The sequence below is a fragment of the Homo sapiens genome, chromosome 4 (genome assembly GCF_000001405.40).
Source record: "Homo sapiens chromosome 4, GRCh38.p14 Primary Assembly".
Classification (NCBI taxonomy): domain Eukaryota; kingdom Metazoa; phylum Chordata; class Mammalia; order Primates; family Hominidae; genus Homo; species Homo sapiens.
Genome location: NC_000004.12, coordinates 121,045,479 through 121,063,082, shown reverse-complemented (window position 1 = coordinate 121,063,082; position 17,604 = coordinate 121,045,479). Strand labels below are relative to the sequence as shown.

General features: G+C 38.0%; 1 protein-coding gene and 1 pseudogene across 3 annotated transcripts in view; both read left to right on the top strand.

Annotated features, from left to right (window-relative positions):
* NDNF (neuron derived neurotrophic factor) overlaps positions 1-17,604 on the top strand; it is a 36,923-nt gene that overhangs the window by 9,453 nt on the left and 9,866 nt on the right. For all 3 annotated transcript variants that reach the window (NM_024574.4, XM_024454212.2, XM_024454213.2), the window contains exon 2: positions 17,245-17,433. In NM_024574.4, the coding sequence (NP_078850.3) occupies positions 17,246-17,433 (188 nt within the window). In that variant the 5' untranslated portion in view covers position 17,245. The remainder of the gene's footprint in view (positions 1-17,244; positions 17,434-17,604) is intronic.
* Positions 1,605-1,843, top strand: RN7SKP137 (RN7SK pseudogene 137; annotated as a pseudogene).

The window sequence follows — 17,604 nt, the reverse complement described above, 5'->3', positions numbered from 1 at the left end:
TTAAAAATTGGATGAAACTGTACATTTCAGCAAAACAAGAGCGCCTATAAACATATATAAAAAAGATACTCCAAAAATTCCAAAGTTTAAAACCCTTTAAAATTTAATAAGAAAAATAAGTTCAGATAATGAAAGTATTTATACACTCAACACTTCAGCCAAACTCAGTCTATAATTTTTTAAAACATTTTCCACATTTAAAGTTTATTCACACGTACAAAGCAATGACAACCACCAGGCATTTTCGAGATCTCTTTTTCTCTTGGCAGGCTCTATCTTGTGTAATGATCACTGAACGTTGTTGACCGCGACACTCACCAGCTGCAGCCTTTTCCTTAGTGCTTCCCTTAAAAAAATAAAAAAGAGAAAAGAAAAAAAATAGGAGAAGAAAAACCACACCTAACTGTGTATCTTACTTCCTTGGGGGGGAAAGGATTACATAATTGTGGGTCTGAATTCCCATATTGTATCAGTACTTGTGGTTTGTCATCTCTCTAATTGTTGTAAGTTTACATGCTTGTATTATTTCATCACAATTTGCTATAAACTATTGAAAATGACTGTGGGATCTGTCTGTGTTGTTTGCCTTTTGAAAGTGTACTTTTCTTTAATCATCTCTTAATCCAGAAATAATAATGCAGAACATCCCAGGAACTGATCCTGATCCTCAGTGCTCTGATCTCAACACGTGCATCTTAAATCCTTTGCTAGATATAGTGCCTAAAAAGCCCAAGCACGCTCGGCTTTGAACCAGTGTTGATCAGTTTTGTTTATTAAACAATGTTGATGTCCTCAGATATGGTGTATGAAGGATAACAAAAAGCATATTAAGAATTTACAATTATTTTTGAGATTATTTTTTAAAATCGACATCTTGGCCTTTAACTCTGTGCTTCTAATCAGTCTCTAATTGAATAAGGTCCTAATCTTTTACCTGATAGGTAAATAAAGATGGAATAATCTGATGCTGAAACTCCTTCACATATCTCTGTTTTAAGAGCAAGTCAAGACGTGTTTTTTGCTGCCGAATAAAATGTTGCAACCAGTCTGAGAAACTGGCTTACACTATTTGAAGATAAATAGAACCTTTTTAATTTTAAAAGAACATTCATATCAATTATTTCATTTAATCTCATAACAATCCTGGGAATAATTGTCTCCATTTTGTAGATGAGGTAATTGAGCTTGAAGGGGATTAAGAGGCTCACTCAAAGTACCAAAGCCGATCATGGTTTAATCAGGACCTTTTCAACTTAGATCTTTGACTCAGATCTTACTCTAAGTTGAGTGATCTTTTTCTATTTTGCTTTGGCAGCCTTTAAACTGTTTCAAAACTTGAATAAATGAATAAATGCATGAATAAATGAATAAATACACGAATAAATAATAAAAATTACATAATCGTTGGTGGGGGGATGGTGGGGGAGTAAAGAACAGACCAAAAAATAAATTCAGGTGTTTGCAAGAAGACTCAATCCTGAATTGAAGAGGAACTCAGACATGAGAAGAGGTCACCTGAGACATTGAGCTATGAGCTAGGAGAGAAGAGACAGAGAAGGAAAAGGAAATGATATGTTTATTCTTTCTCCAAATCGTGAGATTGTGGACGTGAGGGCGATCTGGCTGCGACATTTGTCAACCCTTTGATCGCCAGGGTTGATTCAGCTGATCTGGCTGGCTAGGCGGGTGTCCCCTTCCTTCCTCCCTGCTCCATGTGCATCGCTCCCGAAGCTGTGCACTTGGCCAAAGAGAATGACCATCCCCGATGAAGGAGGACCGGTCTTTGGTCAACGGTATATGAGTAGCTGCGCTCCCCTGCCAGAACCTCCAAACAAGCTCTCAAATTACTAAATTATCAGGAACCACTGTCTTTGGAGAATATTTTCTAACCTTTCCGGAGGTGTTTTTGTGTGTTTTGGGGGGCCTTGGATTTTACAAGAGGGCTGGTAGAATAAATACATACTTGAAGACTGTTCCTTTTAAGTTACTTTCTTTTACAAAAACAAGTTAACTGCATACTTGTGTGCCCTCCCCTTTTTTCTGGAAATAATATTTCCAGGGCGTGGAAAGAGTTTAACCCTTTTAACTCTTTAAGGTCCCTGGTACATCTACTCACTCATCTATCTATGGATTATGTTAGCTTTATTACAGTTTTTAAAAATTACTATTTTGGTTTTGTCTTGTACTTTGGCACTGGAGGCCACCACACATTCTTTAATAGTATAAACACTTAGGCTTTAGTGCTGACCCATCAAAAGAACTGCTGGGGACCTTGGGGGTAAAGATGAGGGAGAGTTGAAGCTTCCAGACCATCAGATATTTGGGTAAATGTGGGATTAGGCCCACAGAATGAAGCATCACTTTTTTTACTCTATTCAATTTATTATTCTGTAGTAGTAATAAATGGTTTCTTCTTGATCTCATTTTATTTATTGGTAGTGTTTTTGCAAACTCTGTTAAGTATATGAACAAACTAGAAACTTTGGTGTAATTTTGAATCTTGTCACCGTCTCCTAAATAGTCCACTGGTCCATTAGTGGGCTTTGTGTTAAACACAAACTGCTTGGGGGAATAAACTTTTTTTTTTAATGTAAAAAAGGTAAGCTGGGCACGGTGGCTCACACCTGTAATCCCAACACTCTGGAAGGCCAAGGCAGGAGGATCTCTTGAAGCCAGGAGTTCAAAACCAGCCTGGGCAACCAATGGAAACCTCATCTCTACCAAAACTAAAAAAATTAGCTAGACATGGTGACACGTGCCTGTAGTCACAGCTACTTAGGCGGCTGAGGTGGGAGGATTGCTGGAGCCTGGGAGGTCAAGGCTGCAGTGAGCCATACTTGCACCACTGCACTCCAGCCTGGGTGACAGAGCAAGACTCTGTCTCAAAACTAAAAAAATAAAAAAACTAAAGAAGGTAGAGAAAAGAGAAAACTGAAATAGTATGGATATAATAATAGTTCTTAGAAAAAGAAAGGATATGGGCAATGTCTTTCATTCATACCTCTCCCTAAATAGAGGTTTAAAATATTAAAACTTGGTAGTCAGTGAAAATTAAAGATTAGAAAGTTCTAACAAAATCCTAGAGATGAAAATCCTACTGCTGCTATTACCAGATTATAGGTCTTCATAGTTTGGGAGTTTCAAAATAAAAATACAGGAGAATCACGAGATTGGAAGAGACAGACCCACCCATCACCTGGCTATTCAAGTGCAGTCCATGAACTGTCAGCATCAACGTCTCCTGGGAGCCCGTTAGAAAGGACCATTCTCAGGACTTACCCCTGACCTGTTGAACCTGAATCTTCATTTTAACGGGAAAAGAGCGATTTCTGTGCGCATAAAGATTTGAGAAGCACCCGTCTATGCCATTCCTGTGCTCAGATCAGAATAGATCCTAACCAAACCAAAATTTACATGATTTCAGAGGAAAGAGGCCCTCCTGAGTAATACGCTATTTTTCTTATCAGGACATTTTTGTGTTCTTAAAGACAGAAAAATTATACCAGGCTCCCGGACCATCCAGCACATGCCATCACTGTATGGCAGCCATGCCAGTGGATATCCGTGATGTCCCCTTCATCAGATTAGAGATATGCTTCCAGACTACTTAGGTTTCACACAATAGCCTATTATATATAAGTTTAGCACCCATAAAATTGTCAAAAGCATTCATATTTTATTTGCTATTAAGCCTATATTCTCTTGAAACAAATTCTACACATCAGCAACAATAGTTAACTTGAATGTTCTTTTTCATTTATTCGTTGTGCACCCACAAAATGTCATGAGTATCTACTTAATGTTGGGCTCTGTGGTCAATACTATCTATCAGTTATAGTACTTGTAGATATATGTAGGATTCCTTTTCTACCCTTAGGAAACTCCAGAATATGTACAAACAATTTAAGATGGTCTTCAATAGAAATATGAGCATAAAAAAGTGCACAGCCAAATTTTTCTGTCATTGTTGAGGACTGAGTCTTAAAGAATGAGTAGACGTTTGCCACCCAGAGAGGCAGTAAAGGCATCCTAGCAAAAGAAGTAGCCTGTGCCCAGGCTAGAGGCACTTGCTGGGAATATGAAGCAGAGGGTGAGGAGCTTGTAGGAAATGAGTGTGGTAGAGTGCAGGGCTTGAGAGTGAAGGACCTCATGGGCCGTAGACTTCATCCTCTCGGTAATGGGAAGCCATCTTACTTTTAATTTTTTCGAAGAGTGAAACAGATTTTTGTTTGTAAAGATGCCAGTGTCAGTACTGTAGAAAATGAATGAGAGATATTGGAAATGGGTATGAGAGCAGTTAGGTGAGATGCAATAAGTGGATAATTTGAGGCTTTGGCAATTTGGATAGAAAAGAGAACAAATTTGGGAGAATACGCAGCAAGTAGAGTGGCAGGATTTGAGGATTAATAGGACATGGGGATTGAAAAGTCAGATAGTGTGGAAGTCCCTAGTTTCATAATTGGAAAGATTGCGCTGCTGCACTGGCATGTCCTGATTTTCATGCAGCATCTTCGTTTATGCTTCAGCCGCCTCGTCAGGACCTACTGTTCACTTCAGTCAACAAACATGGAAACCGAGGCTCGGAGCAGTTGCATCATCTGCCCACAGTCACAGTGGCATGGAAGCATTCTGGCAGAGGAAGGAGTGGAGCCCAGATTCAAATTCAAGCCTGACTCTCAAGTCTGGCTTGCAGAGGTGTCCGCTGAGTTATTTTACACTCTTGAGGGTTAGGTGCCTGGGCTTCAGAAGGAGAACGAATTTGAAGCTAAGAATTAGCCTTGAGGGTTTGGTAAACAGCCGCCCCTAACTTCTTTGCACAATACAGAAATCTTAGGAATTTTTCTGATGGGAGTATTTCAGATTGCTTTGCTGTCTGCTGTTAGCTTCTTGAAAACAGTATAATTCAGCAAATATTTATCTAATGCCTACTTTATACAAGAAAACTAAAAACAGCTATGTAGGGAATATAAAGGGGAGTAAAAAGTAATTTTTGTTCATAAACTTGTGTTATATAAGCCCCATGAAGAGCTTTTTTATAAGGACAAGAAAAATAAAAAAATAACTATAATTCAAGTGAGACGAGAAAGTAACATAAGAAACAAAGTCTTTGGTTTCACCAGAGGACTGTAATTCCACCTTATTGGCCTCTAAGGTTCCCAGGGGACTTGCAGTAGGCACTTAATAAACACTGGTTGACTTATTGACAGTGTACAGGGAGAGCTCAGATAGCAAACCATCTAAGTAAACACCACACTGTCGCAATCCTATTAAGAATTTCCCCGGAGATTTTATAGCGCTCTGTTTTGGGTATCTCACTCCGGAAAGTCAGGAAGCATCCTCCCTCTGTAGGAACACTTCCTACTTTTCAAACTGCTTCCTTCAGTGGAATGGCTTTGTCAGATATGCCTTTATGTTGCTGAGCTCCAAGCTCCTTTCCCTAAAACCATGCTGACAATGGGGACTGGCTGGGCGAGCCGGAGAGCCTCTAATCCGTTTCATCTGATAATGGACGTCAGAGCATCTGGTGTCCTCCCTGGATTTAACACTGGCCAGTTATTCCTCACCTGACCTGACTGCCGGGTCTTGGTGAGCCAGTGCCTGTCTTCCAGTCCCTGTGGCTTGGCAGCGTGTCCCTCTTAGTGGGTGATGGTTGCAGTTAACTCAGATGAGGCAGGTTCCCAGGTGCAAAGACTGGGAGACCAGTGTTTGTCTTTCTGCTGTCTCTTCCTCAGTGTTCTCATCTGTTAAAAGTCCCTTCTGGTTCCAAAATCCCATGACTCTGTATGGCTTACTCTTCACGTGAGCCCTTGCTGAAATGTTCCTTCTTCAGAGGGGGTTTCTTGACTACTTAGCCTAGAAGGGCCCCTTCTTCCCCAGTCTTCACCTCTCTACAGGTCCTCTCTAGTCCCTTAGCCTGTATCATTTTCTTTAGAGTGCCCTCTGGGATCATTATATTAATTATACTTTGTTCTTTACTTGTTTTTCATCCCTCTTATCCACTGAGTATAAGCTCTACGAGCTCAAGATCTTCACACATCTTGTTCGCTGCCTCATTCGCAGCACGTCAGGCAGTGCCTAGTACACAGTAAATGCCCTACTTGTATTTGTGGAATTACCCACTCCATAATCCCACCACACTTGCTCTTTTCTGTTGTCACTGCCTTATTGGTGGGTATCGCTTACTACATCACTGGAAGCTGGGTTATAAAAGATTTCTTTGATGGAAACTTTAGGGAGGATGCAACCCATGTGTTTAACAGACATTGCCAGTAGAATCACCAAGGCAGTTTTTAAAACCAGGTTTGTTATAAGAACAGAAACATCTTTGAACTTGAATCATGTTAAGTACCTTGTCTTGTTAATATGGTAAGTAGAACTAGAAACACCTTTTGAATGTTGAAGATCCTTTAAGAAGATAGTACATATGGCCTGAGATAGATGGAAAATATGCAGAAATTCAAGGTCGTGCCTGAATGAAATGATTGATAGTTTTTTAGAATCTTTTTTTCTTGCTGTAGTATTCTGTTTTAGTCTTTCAGTTTTATCCTTGCTGTTACTAGCAAACAAAACCAGTAGTTATCTCAATTCAGAAGAGATAGTGATGGTTCGATTTGATCCATCAGTATTTAGTGAGCATTTAACATGTGTATTGCAAAATGTATGAAAAGATTGCTGACCTGCCCTGTAGAGTATTATACATCAAAGCTTGGTGTCCATCCTAAAGACGCTGCCAGTCACTTCCTTACTCTCTCTAGCCTGGTTTTCTCAACTGTCTCAGTGACTGCAGTCAATTCCCTCCTGGTCTTTTCTTCACTGAGCTCACCATCTGCCACTTCCCTGCTGGTGCCTGTGTAGTTCGCTACATTCCGGATTATTCCATTGCCTTTAGAATTCCTCCAGGGATGGTGCTTCTTTCCAAATAAGTGCCCAGTAGCATAAGTTATATGGTATTTGGCAGGTGTGAGTTTGTAGGAAGGCTCACAGGTTTTATTTAGCCTATCTGTTTGGATACAGTTTATGAAGAGGTCTGGTCACATATACCAAATAGTAATATTTTCTTGTCAGATTTTCTTCATACCTTCTGTATCTGTCTTTCTTAATTCTGTTTCCTGCTCATTTACCATAACAACCACTTTCCAGGACGAAAATATGCCTTTGGACTTCTTTCTTCTCTGGGTACTTTCAACAAATGGGTTGGCCTCAAATAATATGCATCCCTTCACTTAAAATTTAAGTTCAAAGAAGCAACTTCTGGGGTGCGTGTGTGTGTGTGTATGTGTGTATGTATTGCCTTTCTCTAATATGTCTCTTCAACCATCCATGTATCTGGCGGATCCCATTTCCCACCATGATAATTGAAATCAGTCTTTTTATTTTTTTAGCCACACTTCCTACTAATTTCCACTGTAGCCTCTCCTCATTTATGTTTCTCATCATTTAAAGAGAATGCCTTCCTCTTTTTCTCCTTTCTTCTAATACCTTCTTAAATATAATAACCAGTTTTTAAAACTGCATCTAAGATAGACAGCTATTCAGGCTATTTGATGCCACCTGAAAATTCTGCTTAACTAATTTATTTCTCTCATTTCTTCCACCTTTGCAGTACTTTCTGTTTGTCATTTTATCATATGCACGTTCCTATAATCAATGTGTTATTTTTTATTCCTCTTTTTTCCTCACTTCCTTCCTCCAACTTACCAGCACATTCTGGCAATCCAACTGCAAAGCATATCCCCAGTTTTTCCATTATTCCTCATCTCCTCTACAAAGCTGAAAAAACCACCATCTCTACCATGGACAACTGCAGTAGCCTTCATCTGATCTTTTTGTTTCAGAAAGATGAAGTTGTTTTCTGCTTTTAAAACTACCACTTCACTGAAATCCATTTTCTGCACAATAGACAGGGTTATTCCTAAAAAAGCTTGGATCACTTCATGGCCTTTCTGTGCTTAAAGAGCTTTCCACTCATGCCTGTAATCCCAGCACTTTGGGAGGCCAAGACGGAAGGATCACCCGAGCCCAGGGGTTTGAGACCAACCTGGGCAACGTGGCAAGATCCCTTCTATACAAAAATAAAAAAAAAAACCTAGCTGAGTAAGGTGGCACACACCTGTAGTCCCAGCTACTCAGAAGGCTGAGGCGGAAGGATCTGTTGAGCTCAGGAGGTAGAGGTTGCAGTGAGCCATGATTGCACCACTGCACTCCAGCCTTGGCAACAGAGCAAGACCCTGTCTCAAAAAAGTTGGCAATGGGGGCCTTCCCAACACGCTTAGAACAGAATCCAAACCCCTTAATATGGATGTGAATCTCTATGTGATTGGCACTTGGTCTTCCATTCTTCCCTCACCCACTGTGTTCCACAGTGATGTCCTTTCCTTTTGTCAATACCTCAAGCTTAGTGCAACCTTGGTGCCTTTGCACCAGCTATTTCTCTGCCCAGAATGCTTTTTCTCCTGACATTTATTTGCTTCATTGGCTTCCTCTTGTCATTCAGATGACAGCATAAATGTCATCTCCTCAAGGAAAACTTCTCTAAATACTCAATCTAAAATGCCCATCACCACACTGTCTTTCACAGAAGCCTATTTTAATTTTTAGCATAGCTAGCAGCAATAGTATTTTCTTGTGTATCTGTTTATGTGTTGCCTGTCACTCCCACTAGAACACTCACTTCCTGAGGTCACCACTGTTCCTAGAAGAGTACCTGGCATGTAGCAAAAATGTATTATATAGATATTGAATTAAAAAAATAATGAATGAGTAGAAATGCTGACATTGGACTCTGTTGGCTGGGCAGGTACATTTTGCCCCATAAATAGATTCTAAGTTCCTAAGATACATATTTTTTCAGACCTCACATTACCCAGTTGAGTTTGGAGTATGACATCGATATTTGACAAAACTCTTATTCTCTTCATTTTTTGCTCTTTTGGCCATATTTAGGTTTTGGTATCCTAAGAAATCCATGGAGTGACTTACTGAAGAGTTAACTTCTTGGATAAATGGCTATAAAAAATCAAATTTTTATGGTGCTACACACTGCAGTGACTCAATATTTTTTTATTGACCACAACAATTCATGCCTCACCTTCCAGGCTGATACGTGCTGTTGCTGAATGCTACTGGCGCGCTGCCATGCTCCATCTTAGCTAAATTTCAGTAGAGAATGAGGTATGCAGTTTGTAAACTGCTTTGGGGAATGTTGCACAGGAAGTCATTTTCATTTGGTTGCAGATCAACAGGAAATAAGGCTTAGTTGCCAAACAAAAGCAAGAAAAGCAACCAAGCATATTATTCCTTCCTTTGGGGCTTTCATTATTCTAAGAATCATTAGCATCACCTAAGACAGTGGAAGTTATCCCAGCTATCTCAGTTTCACATATAGAGGACATTTTGATAGGAAGAAGGTATTTAGTATTCTGTTCCAGTTTTTCTTTGCATTCTCCCATACACTGCTTTTGAACTTTGTCATATCTTCTAACCATCCATCTGATACATTTTAAGAGTTCTACTCCTTTCTTTACTAAAATGGGTCTGGCTTCCTGAATTACAGACTACTCCTATCTATGAGACATTTATTTCGGCCAGTTCTGTTATTCATTATTCTTCTCATTGGCATTAATATTGATGGGAATACAAGATTACTTACTTTAAAATCTGATCCTCTTTGAAGTAATTCTGATTGTGTAGGCTTGGCCATCTTTTAAATTAGAATGCCCTAACGTTATCCCTGTTAGGAACTCTGCATCATGAGACTCAGAGGGAGCGCATGACAGAATGGAAACTTTATTCGAATCCTTGGCATGTTTTAATTTCACATTGCTTTTTTATATTAATTTAATTTCCTTCCAGAAGGAAAGTTGGCAGTCATTTAGAGAAGTGCTAAGGGAGGTTGGAATCATTGCAGTTGAAATGCATGTGCAGGTCCCTAATCTGTAGATTATTGACATAATGAACTCTAAAACTCTTAATAATCATGTCACTGTGTACTGACAGCCTGCATTTAGAGAGCTTTAGTGCACGAGTTCTGTACATAATGTCGGCTCTACTTCATTGGGTTGGGTAGAAGTTGGCATGTTATCGCAGAGTGAGAGCTCACCTAGCATGTGCCAGAGACCACTCGTCAGGGCAGACCAGGAATCCTTTACTTCCATCTGCTTTATTTCTCCCTTTTCAGGTATGGAAATGTCAGCCCATAATATGCTGTATTTCCTTCAAATTTTTAACAGATTTGGATTTTTAAGAACAACTAACTTCAGACATTTTCATTGTTTGCAAAAGAAAACAAAATAAAACACCTTTTGGGAATTCAACTTTTGATTGCTGCATTTTTGCCTCGAAGGAATCCGTACATCCACGCTGGCACATGTTGGACATTCAGTATTAAAGTGTGCAGTCCTCTTCGCTTGCTGCCCAGCAAGTCATGGCAGACACACGGCTCTTCCCCTAACTAAAGCTATATATTTTTTTCTTACACCTGGACCAAATGCTTCAGATTTATTATCAAATGTGACATGGATGATTCAAACAAAAACAAATGCTCTTGAGTTTGAAAATAGAAATTTAAAAGACTAAATATTTGCATTTAGAAAGGAAAAGAAAATAACAGAAATCTCTGTGGCAGACCATTCCTTGAAATTATTCTCGCCAAATTATAATCATGCACTTTCCACTCTCTTTAATTAAACATTAGATTTCATTTATTCTCTATACATTTGCTTCAAGTAAATCAGAATGCCCATCCTTTTTTGTCATTGTAAATGTATTTCAACTTCGTGGCCTGCACATGATCAGGCACATTAGATAATTTTTAAGCGAATCTCAGTGATACTATATATTTTTTCAAATTTTATACTTTATGTTATATTTATAGTGATGAATCTGATCTTAAATTTTATAATATGTAAAGTGTGTAAGAGCTTGATGACATTTTTCACAACTACATTTATACATTTCTGCAAAGAACTTGTTGGTGATAGAGGGATGGAGGAATTTGTTTTGATCATATTATCACAGGTAGGTAAAGCTGTTGGCTGCTGTTCTGAGGAAGCTACAGTGATGAGAAAGGTCACAGTGCATTAATTTATATCACGTCTTCTATTTTGAGAGCCTTGGACCTTTACATGAAAGCCCAAAAGAACTTTCTATCTACCAGATTTGCAATTGTTTGAATTGCTCAGATAATATAGCCAAATAGCAGTCTATAACTATTAAAGACAAGCTTTCTAGTGGTTGAAATAAGAGTCTGCTCTTAAAAGTCTTAATTGTTTTATGTGGTAAAACCATTTAGTGGATTTTTAAGGAAAAAAAATTAGCCAGATTTATTTCTTATCACTGTTCATACAATTTCAAAGAATAAATGTTAACTAACTGAACCAGTGGTTTAACCCAGATGGGTAAATTGACTAGTTGATCTTATGTAATTGCAGATAAATTTTGCAAAATGACAGCAGTAGAACTGCTATAGACATTCTGGGGCAAGTTGAATTTTTGTAGGGTATGTTGTGCTTTTTTGTGATGATAGAGGTAATTCTGGGTATTTAATTGATACAATGAATTACTCAAACTCCCTTTAAATTTTTACTTTGCTTACCATTGACCATTTTATAATTTACAAGCATTTCCACAGGTTTGTGGGAAAAAGATATGCCAGGTCAGTTGGACAGTTTATTTTATCTAAAAGTTCCATAGAATATGAAGTTTAAATTAATGCTAAAGAAAGGCTTAGAATTGTCTGTACATGTTCAATTATCCATCATGTGCTCCACTCCCTACTCCTTGCAGAACAATAAAAACGCTTTAAATCTATTCACTGACATTTTCTTTAAAACTGGAGGAAATGAAGGGGAGAAGCAAGTTCCCATCACCATAGTCCTAAAACATTAGAAAGAATCCCTTCTCCATATCTCTTGGGTTGTATAGTATTTACCTGCTCGCAAGAAAGTGGGCAGCAGATGTTCCATTTTTATATTTAAAAGTTTCCTCTTTGGGGACTACTACTTATTTGCCTTAACTCCAATATCAGCTGATTGAACTCATAATGTTTCCACATTTTTGATCTAAAAATATGTGTGTGTATATATTCATACACCATATAAACTAGTTATTTACTTTGGATTATCCAAACCCATCTCTACCTTTGTAAGTATAGACTATATGGTTAACCTTTGGACAATTTTATTTCCCCTGTAGGATATTGGCATTCCAAAGAAAAATCTCATATCACCAATAATCTATTTTCTAAAGATTGAGTTGTATCAAATCATTAGGTCATTTTTATTTTCTCACCTCAGTTTTAGCAGGATCTGAGGACTTGTGCCAAATGTGAAGAAGGCCTTTGACAACACAAAAATAGCAGAATTATAGATTGCATCTATATCTTTTATTCATTAGAACTTTTCAATTGAAACAAAGTCAATTTTTTCAGTATCAGAGTAACACTACCAAGTTCTTTTGGGTTGTGGATACTGTGCAACCAAGTTGATCTGCCAAGCAAAATAAAAATATTTGGAATTATCCTAGCAACTTTCAGCTTATGTTTGAACTAAAGCCTCAATTGTAGAAAGATAGCAAGATTTGTTGCTGTGCAAACACATTTCCTACATCATCCACCAGATGGCCATGAAAAAAGAAAGTGCTTAAAGTGAAACTCTGATTGATGTTATTTAATGTAAAGTTTAAATCTAGATAAGCTCTGCCTACCTAGAAGTAACAAAAAGAAATGAGAGGAAAAGTTATGCCATTAGAGGGCACTTTTGTAATCTTAGAAAAAAAGTCTGTTCTTATAAAGCAATTTAAGGCTTATGCTTAACAAGAATGAATTTTCATTTGTTTATTCTCAATGACTAATTCTTAAATTGTATATCTGAGACAGAACATTTTATTGTTAGGGAAAAATGTGTAAAATCTTAAAACCACCATTTAAATAATATTTATGTAAAGCTTCAATTTTTTATCAGTCAATATAAGTTGTAAAAATATATACAATGTATCTACACAGTCATTTTTTGATTAGCTATATTCAATGCTCCTTGTAAATACATTTTAACTTCTGCCTGTAACCTGACCAAATTGAACAAGCCATCAGTGCTCCCTAATATTTAAGTTTTTCCCCAACAGTAGTTGCATGTTATTAGATAATATTTGTAGAACCAGAATCTGACAGAGTATAAATTCCTGTGTTTGGGGTCCATACAAATTTTTAAAACTTTTTTGAAAAGTATGTTTTGCCCATAATTGGCATAGCAATTGAGATGGTTAAAACTGTTTCAGAAACAAAAAATGTGGCCTGATGGAATTTTAGTTTGGGAAATATGATGTTTTTGATAAAGCAAAAGATAAAGTTTCAGTCCATTATCTATTGGTGATTGTCTAAATAAAAATATCTACCTGAGCCAATAAAGTAGGTAAACCAGTAAAATAGTTTAATAAATAGAAGCTTAGTGTCAAAGACTATGAAAGACTTGAGATTTTAGCCCACTTGCAAGCTAATAAATTAGTCTGTCATAGTTTCATGGATGCTAGAAGAAGGCAAGATACTCCTGGGTCAGAGACAAAGGACTTTATTACTCAGAGTGACGTATTACTCAGGCAGAGTATCATTATTTTCTTCCACTGGCTCCCTGACCCCCACTTCCCACAGGATGATGCAAAGAGGGCCAGCGGGCACTGGGCCATGTTTGGATTTTATTACAAGAGAGGATCCCTGAATTTAGGGACCTAAAATCTTCTATAATCGGTGGTAGCCATGCCTGCTCTTTGCTCCAGAGGCTTTATCTGCCAAGACTGCTCACTATACAAATATCCTTGAAAAGATAATGTGGAACAAAAGCAGTCAGTACTTCTGCTCCCAAGTACTTGCAAAAGCAAACACAGAGACCCATGGAGAATTGCCTCCCAACACTTACTCTGCATAATCCTATAACTTGAATTTGTTTACTAATATTAATTTGTTAAGTAGCTGAACTGGAGAATATATAATAATCAGATTTACCATATTTTAAGCCACCTATAATAAATAGTTCATATTTTTTACATCAGATAGTATTTACTGTATGACCTTACTTATCTAAGTCTCACTTTGATCATTTTTAAAATGAGAAAAAAGAATAGTGCCTACATTATAGTGTTGTTGCTAGCATTAGATGAAATAATATATATAAAGAACTTAGAAGAATGCCTGGCATGTGGCATGTATACAACAAAATTTATTAATATTGTTTTTATCTCAGATTTTTTTTTCTTTTTTTGAGACGGAGGCTCTGTCGCCCATGCTGGAGTGCAGTGGCGTGATCTTGGCTCACTACAACCTCCGCTGCCTGGGTTCAAGCGATTCTCCTGCATCAGCCTCCCAAGTAGCTGGGATTACAGGCGCCCACCACCACACGCAGCTAATTTTTGTATTTTTAGTAGAGACGGGGTTTTGCCATGTTGGCCAGGCTGGTCTCAAACTCCTGACCTCGTGATCCACCTGCCTTGGCCTCCCAAAGTGCTGGGATTACGGGCGTGAGCCACTGCGCCCAGCCAGAATTCATTTTTTATAAGTATCTGATTTAATAGAGAGTTCTTTCCTAGGGCAGTTGAGGATGCAGGGAAAGTTCCTATCAATCGACACTATTTTTCCAACTCGGGCTGACCTAAATATCCCAGATACCCTGGGTCCTTAGGCAGCTTGTCCTGCTAAGTCATACTGTGGCACCGTGGTTGGCAGCTTTGTGGGCAAACATGGGGCCTAAGGAGGTAAGCCTTGAGTGGCTCTGAGGCAAATATGCCTGTGTATCTCGCTTTCAAGTGCTCTGATAGCATGTTTGCTAAATTTCTAACAAGTACAGAAAGCGAAATTCTAGCTATTTCTAAAGAGATTTTCTTCTTTATTTGGCCTCGTCTGTTCTCACAAGGCAAGTTTTGGGGATGGTACTACAAAGAGAAATAAACTTGTAGAATTGCATGTGGCATGTCTATGGTATTTCTAAACAGAGGCAGCATAGCAAATGCCATTTGGATTTTCAGTTTCTGTTAGCTCCAAACAAAAGAGGAGCAGAGGGGAGGGACAGACAGCAGTGAGGGAGGTCCCATTCAGGTCAGTCCACCATGTCCTTGCTTGGTTAGATTATATCAACCTAGTCTTGATTTTGATCCATCCAGCCATCTTTTGCAGACATAGCCCTTGTCTACTGTTAGCAACTCTCATGAGCTCCCACTGACATCCCCAAGTTCTTTTGGATTTCTCCTTGACAATCATCTGGATATCTGAGGGAGAGATTACTTCAGGCAACTTAAGAAGGCCTGGTCTTATTCTTAAACTGCCAGCTTTTTAGGAAGAAAAGTTTATTCAGTCTCAGAAGCATTGCTGATTATAGATCACCCATCCAAACTCTTCAAAAAACTGAGGTCCGGAGTGGCTAGGTGAATTGCCTAAGATCACACATCTAGTAAGGAACTGAAGCTAAACATCAAGTTTCTTAGCTCTCAGTTGAATTTTCTTACACTTGCAATACAATTAAGAAATAAGAGTGGGAAAGAAAAGCCTCATAATAAGTTATTATGGCTTTCTGGAGAGATATTACAGAGGATGAACACTGGGCTCTGCAGTCAGATCCACCTGTATTTGTATCCTTTCTCTGCTTACCTAATGGAGTTTTGTTTTTGCATAGGATAGCAGCTACTTCACAGGCTTATTGTGAGGACTAAAAGTAGTAATGCAACTCGTGAACTTAGAACAGTGCTTTGCACATAGTAGCTCTAGATCACTGCAGATATTTTGTATGGAAAACCGCAGAACACAGAACAGCAAAGAATATTTGGAGAAAAGTAAAATGCATTTTGCACAAGCTCGTTGTGAAAAATCCAACTCTCATGTCCACATTGTAAAAAAGAGAATGTTATTTCTTTCAAACTATATATTTTTGCAATCTGAATCTATTTTTGATAGCATTCAAAGAAAGATAAAATTAAAATCAAATGATGTTTTAAGTAGAGGTTGATTATAGTAATGTCCATTTAAAAATAAAACTGGCATTCACTTCATCTTGAATTATCACAAATATTTGCTATTTAAAGTACCTCAATGTAAAAACACTATATTTCTCTAATGCTTTAATTCCCTGATGTATGTTAAGTCAAAGAGGTAAAGGAAAACAATTCTTTACATATTTCTTTCTGTGAGGAAAAAAAAATACCAAATGGTCAGAGGAAGCAAAGTTTTTTCATGAGACCTGTCATGTCAAGGAACTTGCCTACCTGGGGCTTCCTGTTGGGAACACCAAGACATGTGGAAGACAGTGTCTTTGACAACACCCCTACAGCAATGTGCAGTAGAGAATGATCCATCATTACTTAGAGGATCTTTGATGAAAGTCAGTGACAAATGCCAAAATGTAACTCAGTGAAAGTACTCTCTGCTGGAGGTTAAGACAAATGTTCTAAATATACACCTTTCTGGCTTGATGTGTGAGTGAAGGTTCAAGCCCATTTTCTAAAATGATAGAGGTGTATATGTCAACGTTGTGTTGAAGACTCTGGTACCTGATAACAACTAAACATCAACTAATAACTCATCTTGTGATTCTGGACAAATTGCTTAATCTGTGAAGGAGATGAAGTTTATGATTTATAAAAATCCTTGACTTATGAAAATTTGATCTTGGAAAAAGCATAATACTACGTAGAGAGTTATATATGTATAACCCCTAGTCAGATTTTAGGGAAGAATAAAAATAATTGAGCAGTGATAATTTTCTGGTTCTCAATGAGTCTCTGTGATTTATGTTGAATGTAATAGTTCAACCATATCAGCAATTAGCAACTTGACTGCTGAGCAATGATACCAACCAACCATTGGTATAACTTTTATAATAGTTCAAAAAACTGACCTTAAGAGATTATTTTCGTGCAAGCTTTGAGACATTGATATAGCGTTATCTACAATGTCCATATAGGCTTCTGCTGTAATGAAGTGAGGATTTTCTCTCTGAATACCCAGAGAAGTTAATGCAGCAAGAGTCTTTTCATTTCAAAATCTTTTTAATGTCTGAAATTCTAGTGAATTTATTTTTAACATCATGAAAATGTTTGAAGAAAAAATATAGTAAAGTTGCCTTGAAGATCATGTGTATGTATCCAAAATACATGATGCGTCCCTAAATTTCCATCAAAGCTAAAATAGTGTTAACCCTTTAGAAAGTCTGTGACTTGCCTGAGTGTCTGCCTGCAGAACTAATAAAGTAGTCATTTCTGTTGCCTCAGGATGGTGCTGCTCCACTGGTGCCTGCTGTGGCTCCTGTTTCCACTCAGCTCAAGGACCCAGAAGTTACCCACCCGGGATGAGGAACTTTTTCAGATGCAGATCCGGGACAAGGCATTTTTTCATGATTCGTCAGTAATTCCAGATGGAGCTGAAATTAGCAGTTATCTCTTTAGAGATACACCTAAGAGGTATTCTCCCTGCAGTATTTTCTTTATTAAAAAGCTCACAAAGGATGCCTCCAAAAAAGAGAGTAACCTTTAGACTTAGTTTAGGTAATTTACAAATCAACCTATGAATGGCATTACCGATTTTCTGTAAGTAAGGGGGAACATGGCAGTGCAACTTCTAATTATGAAATA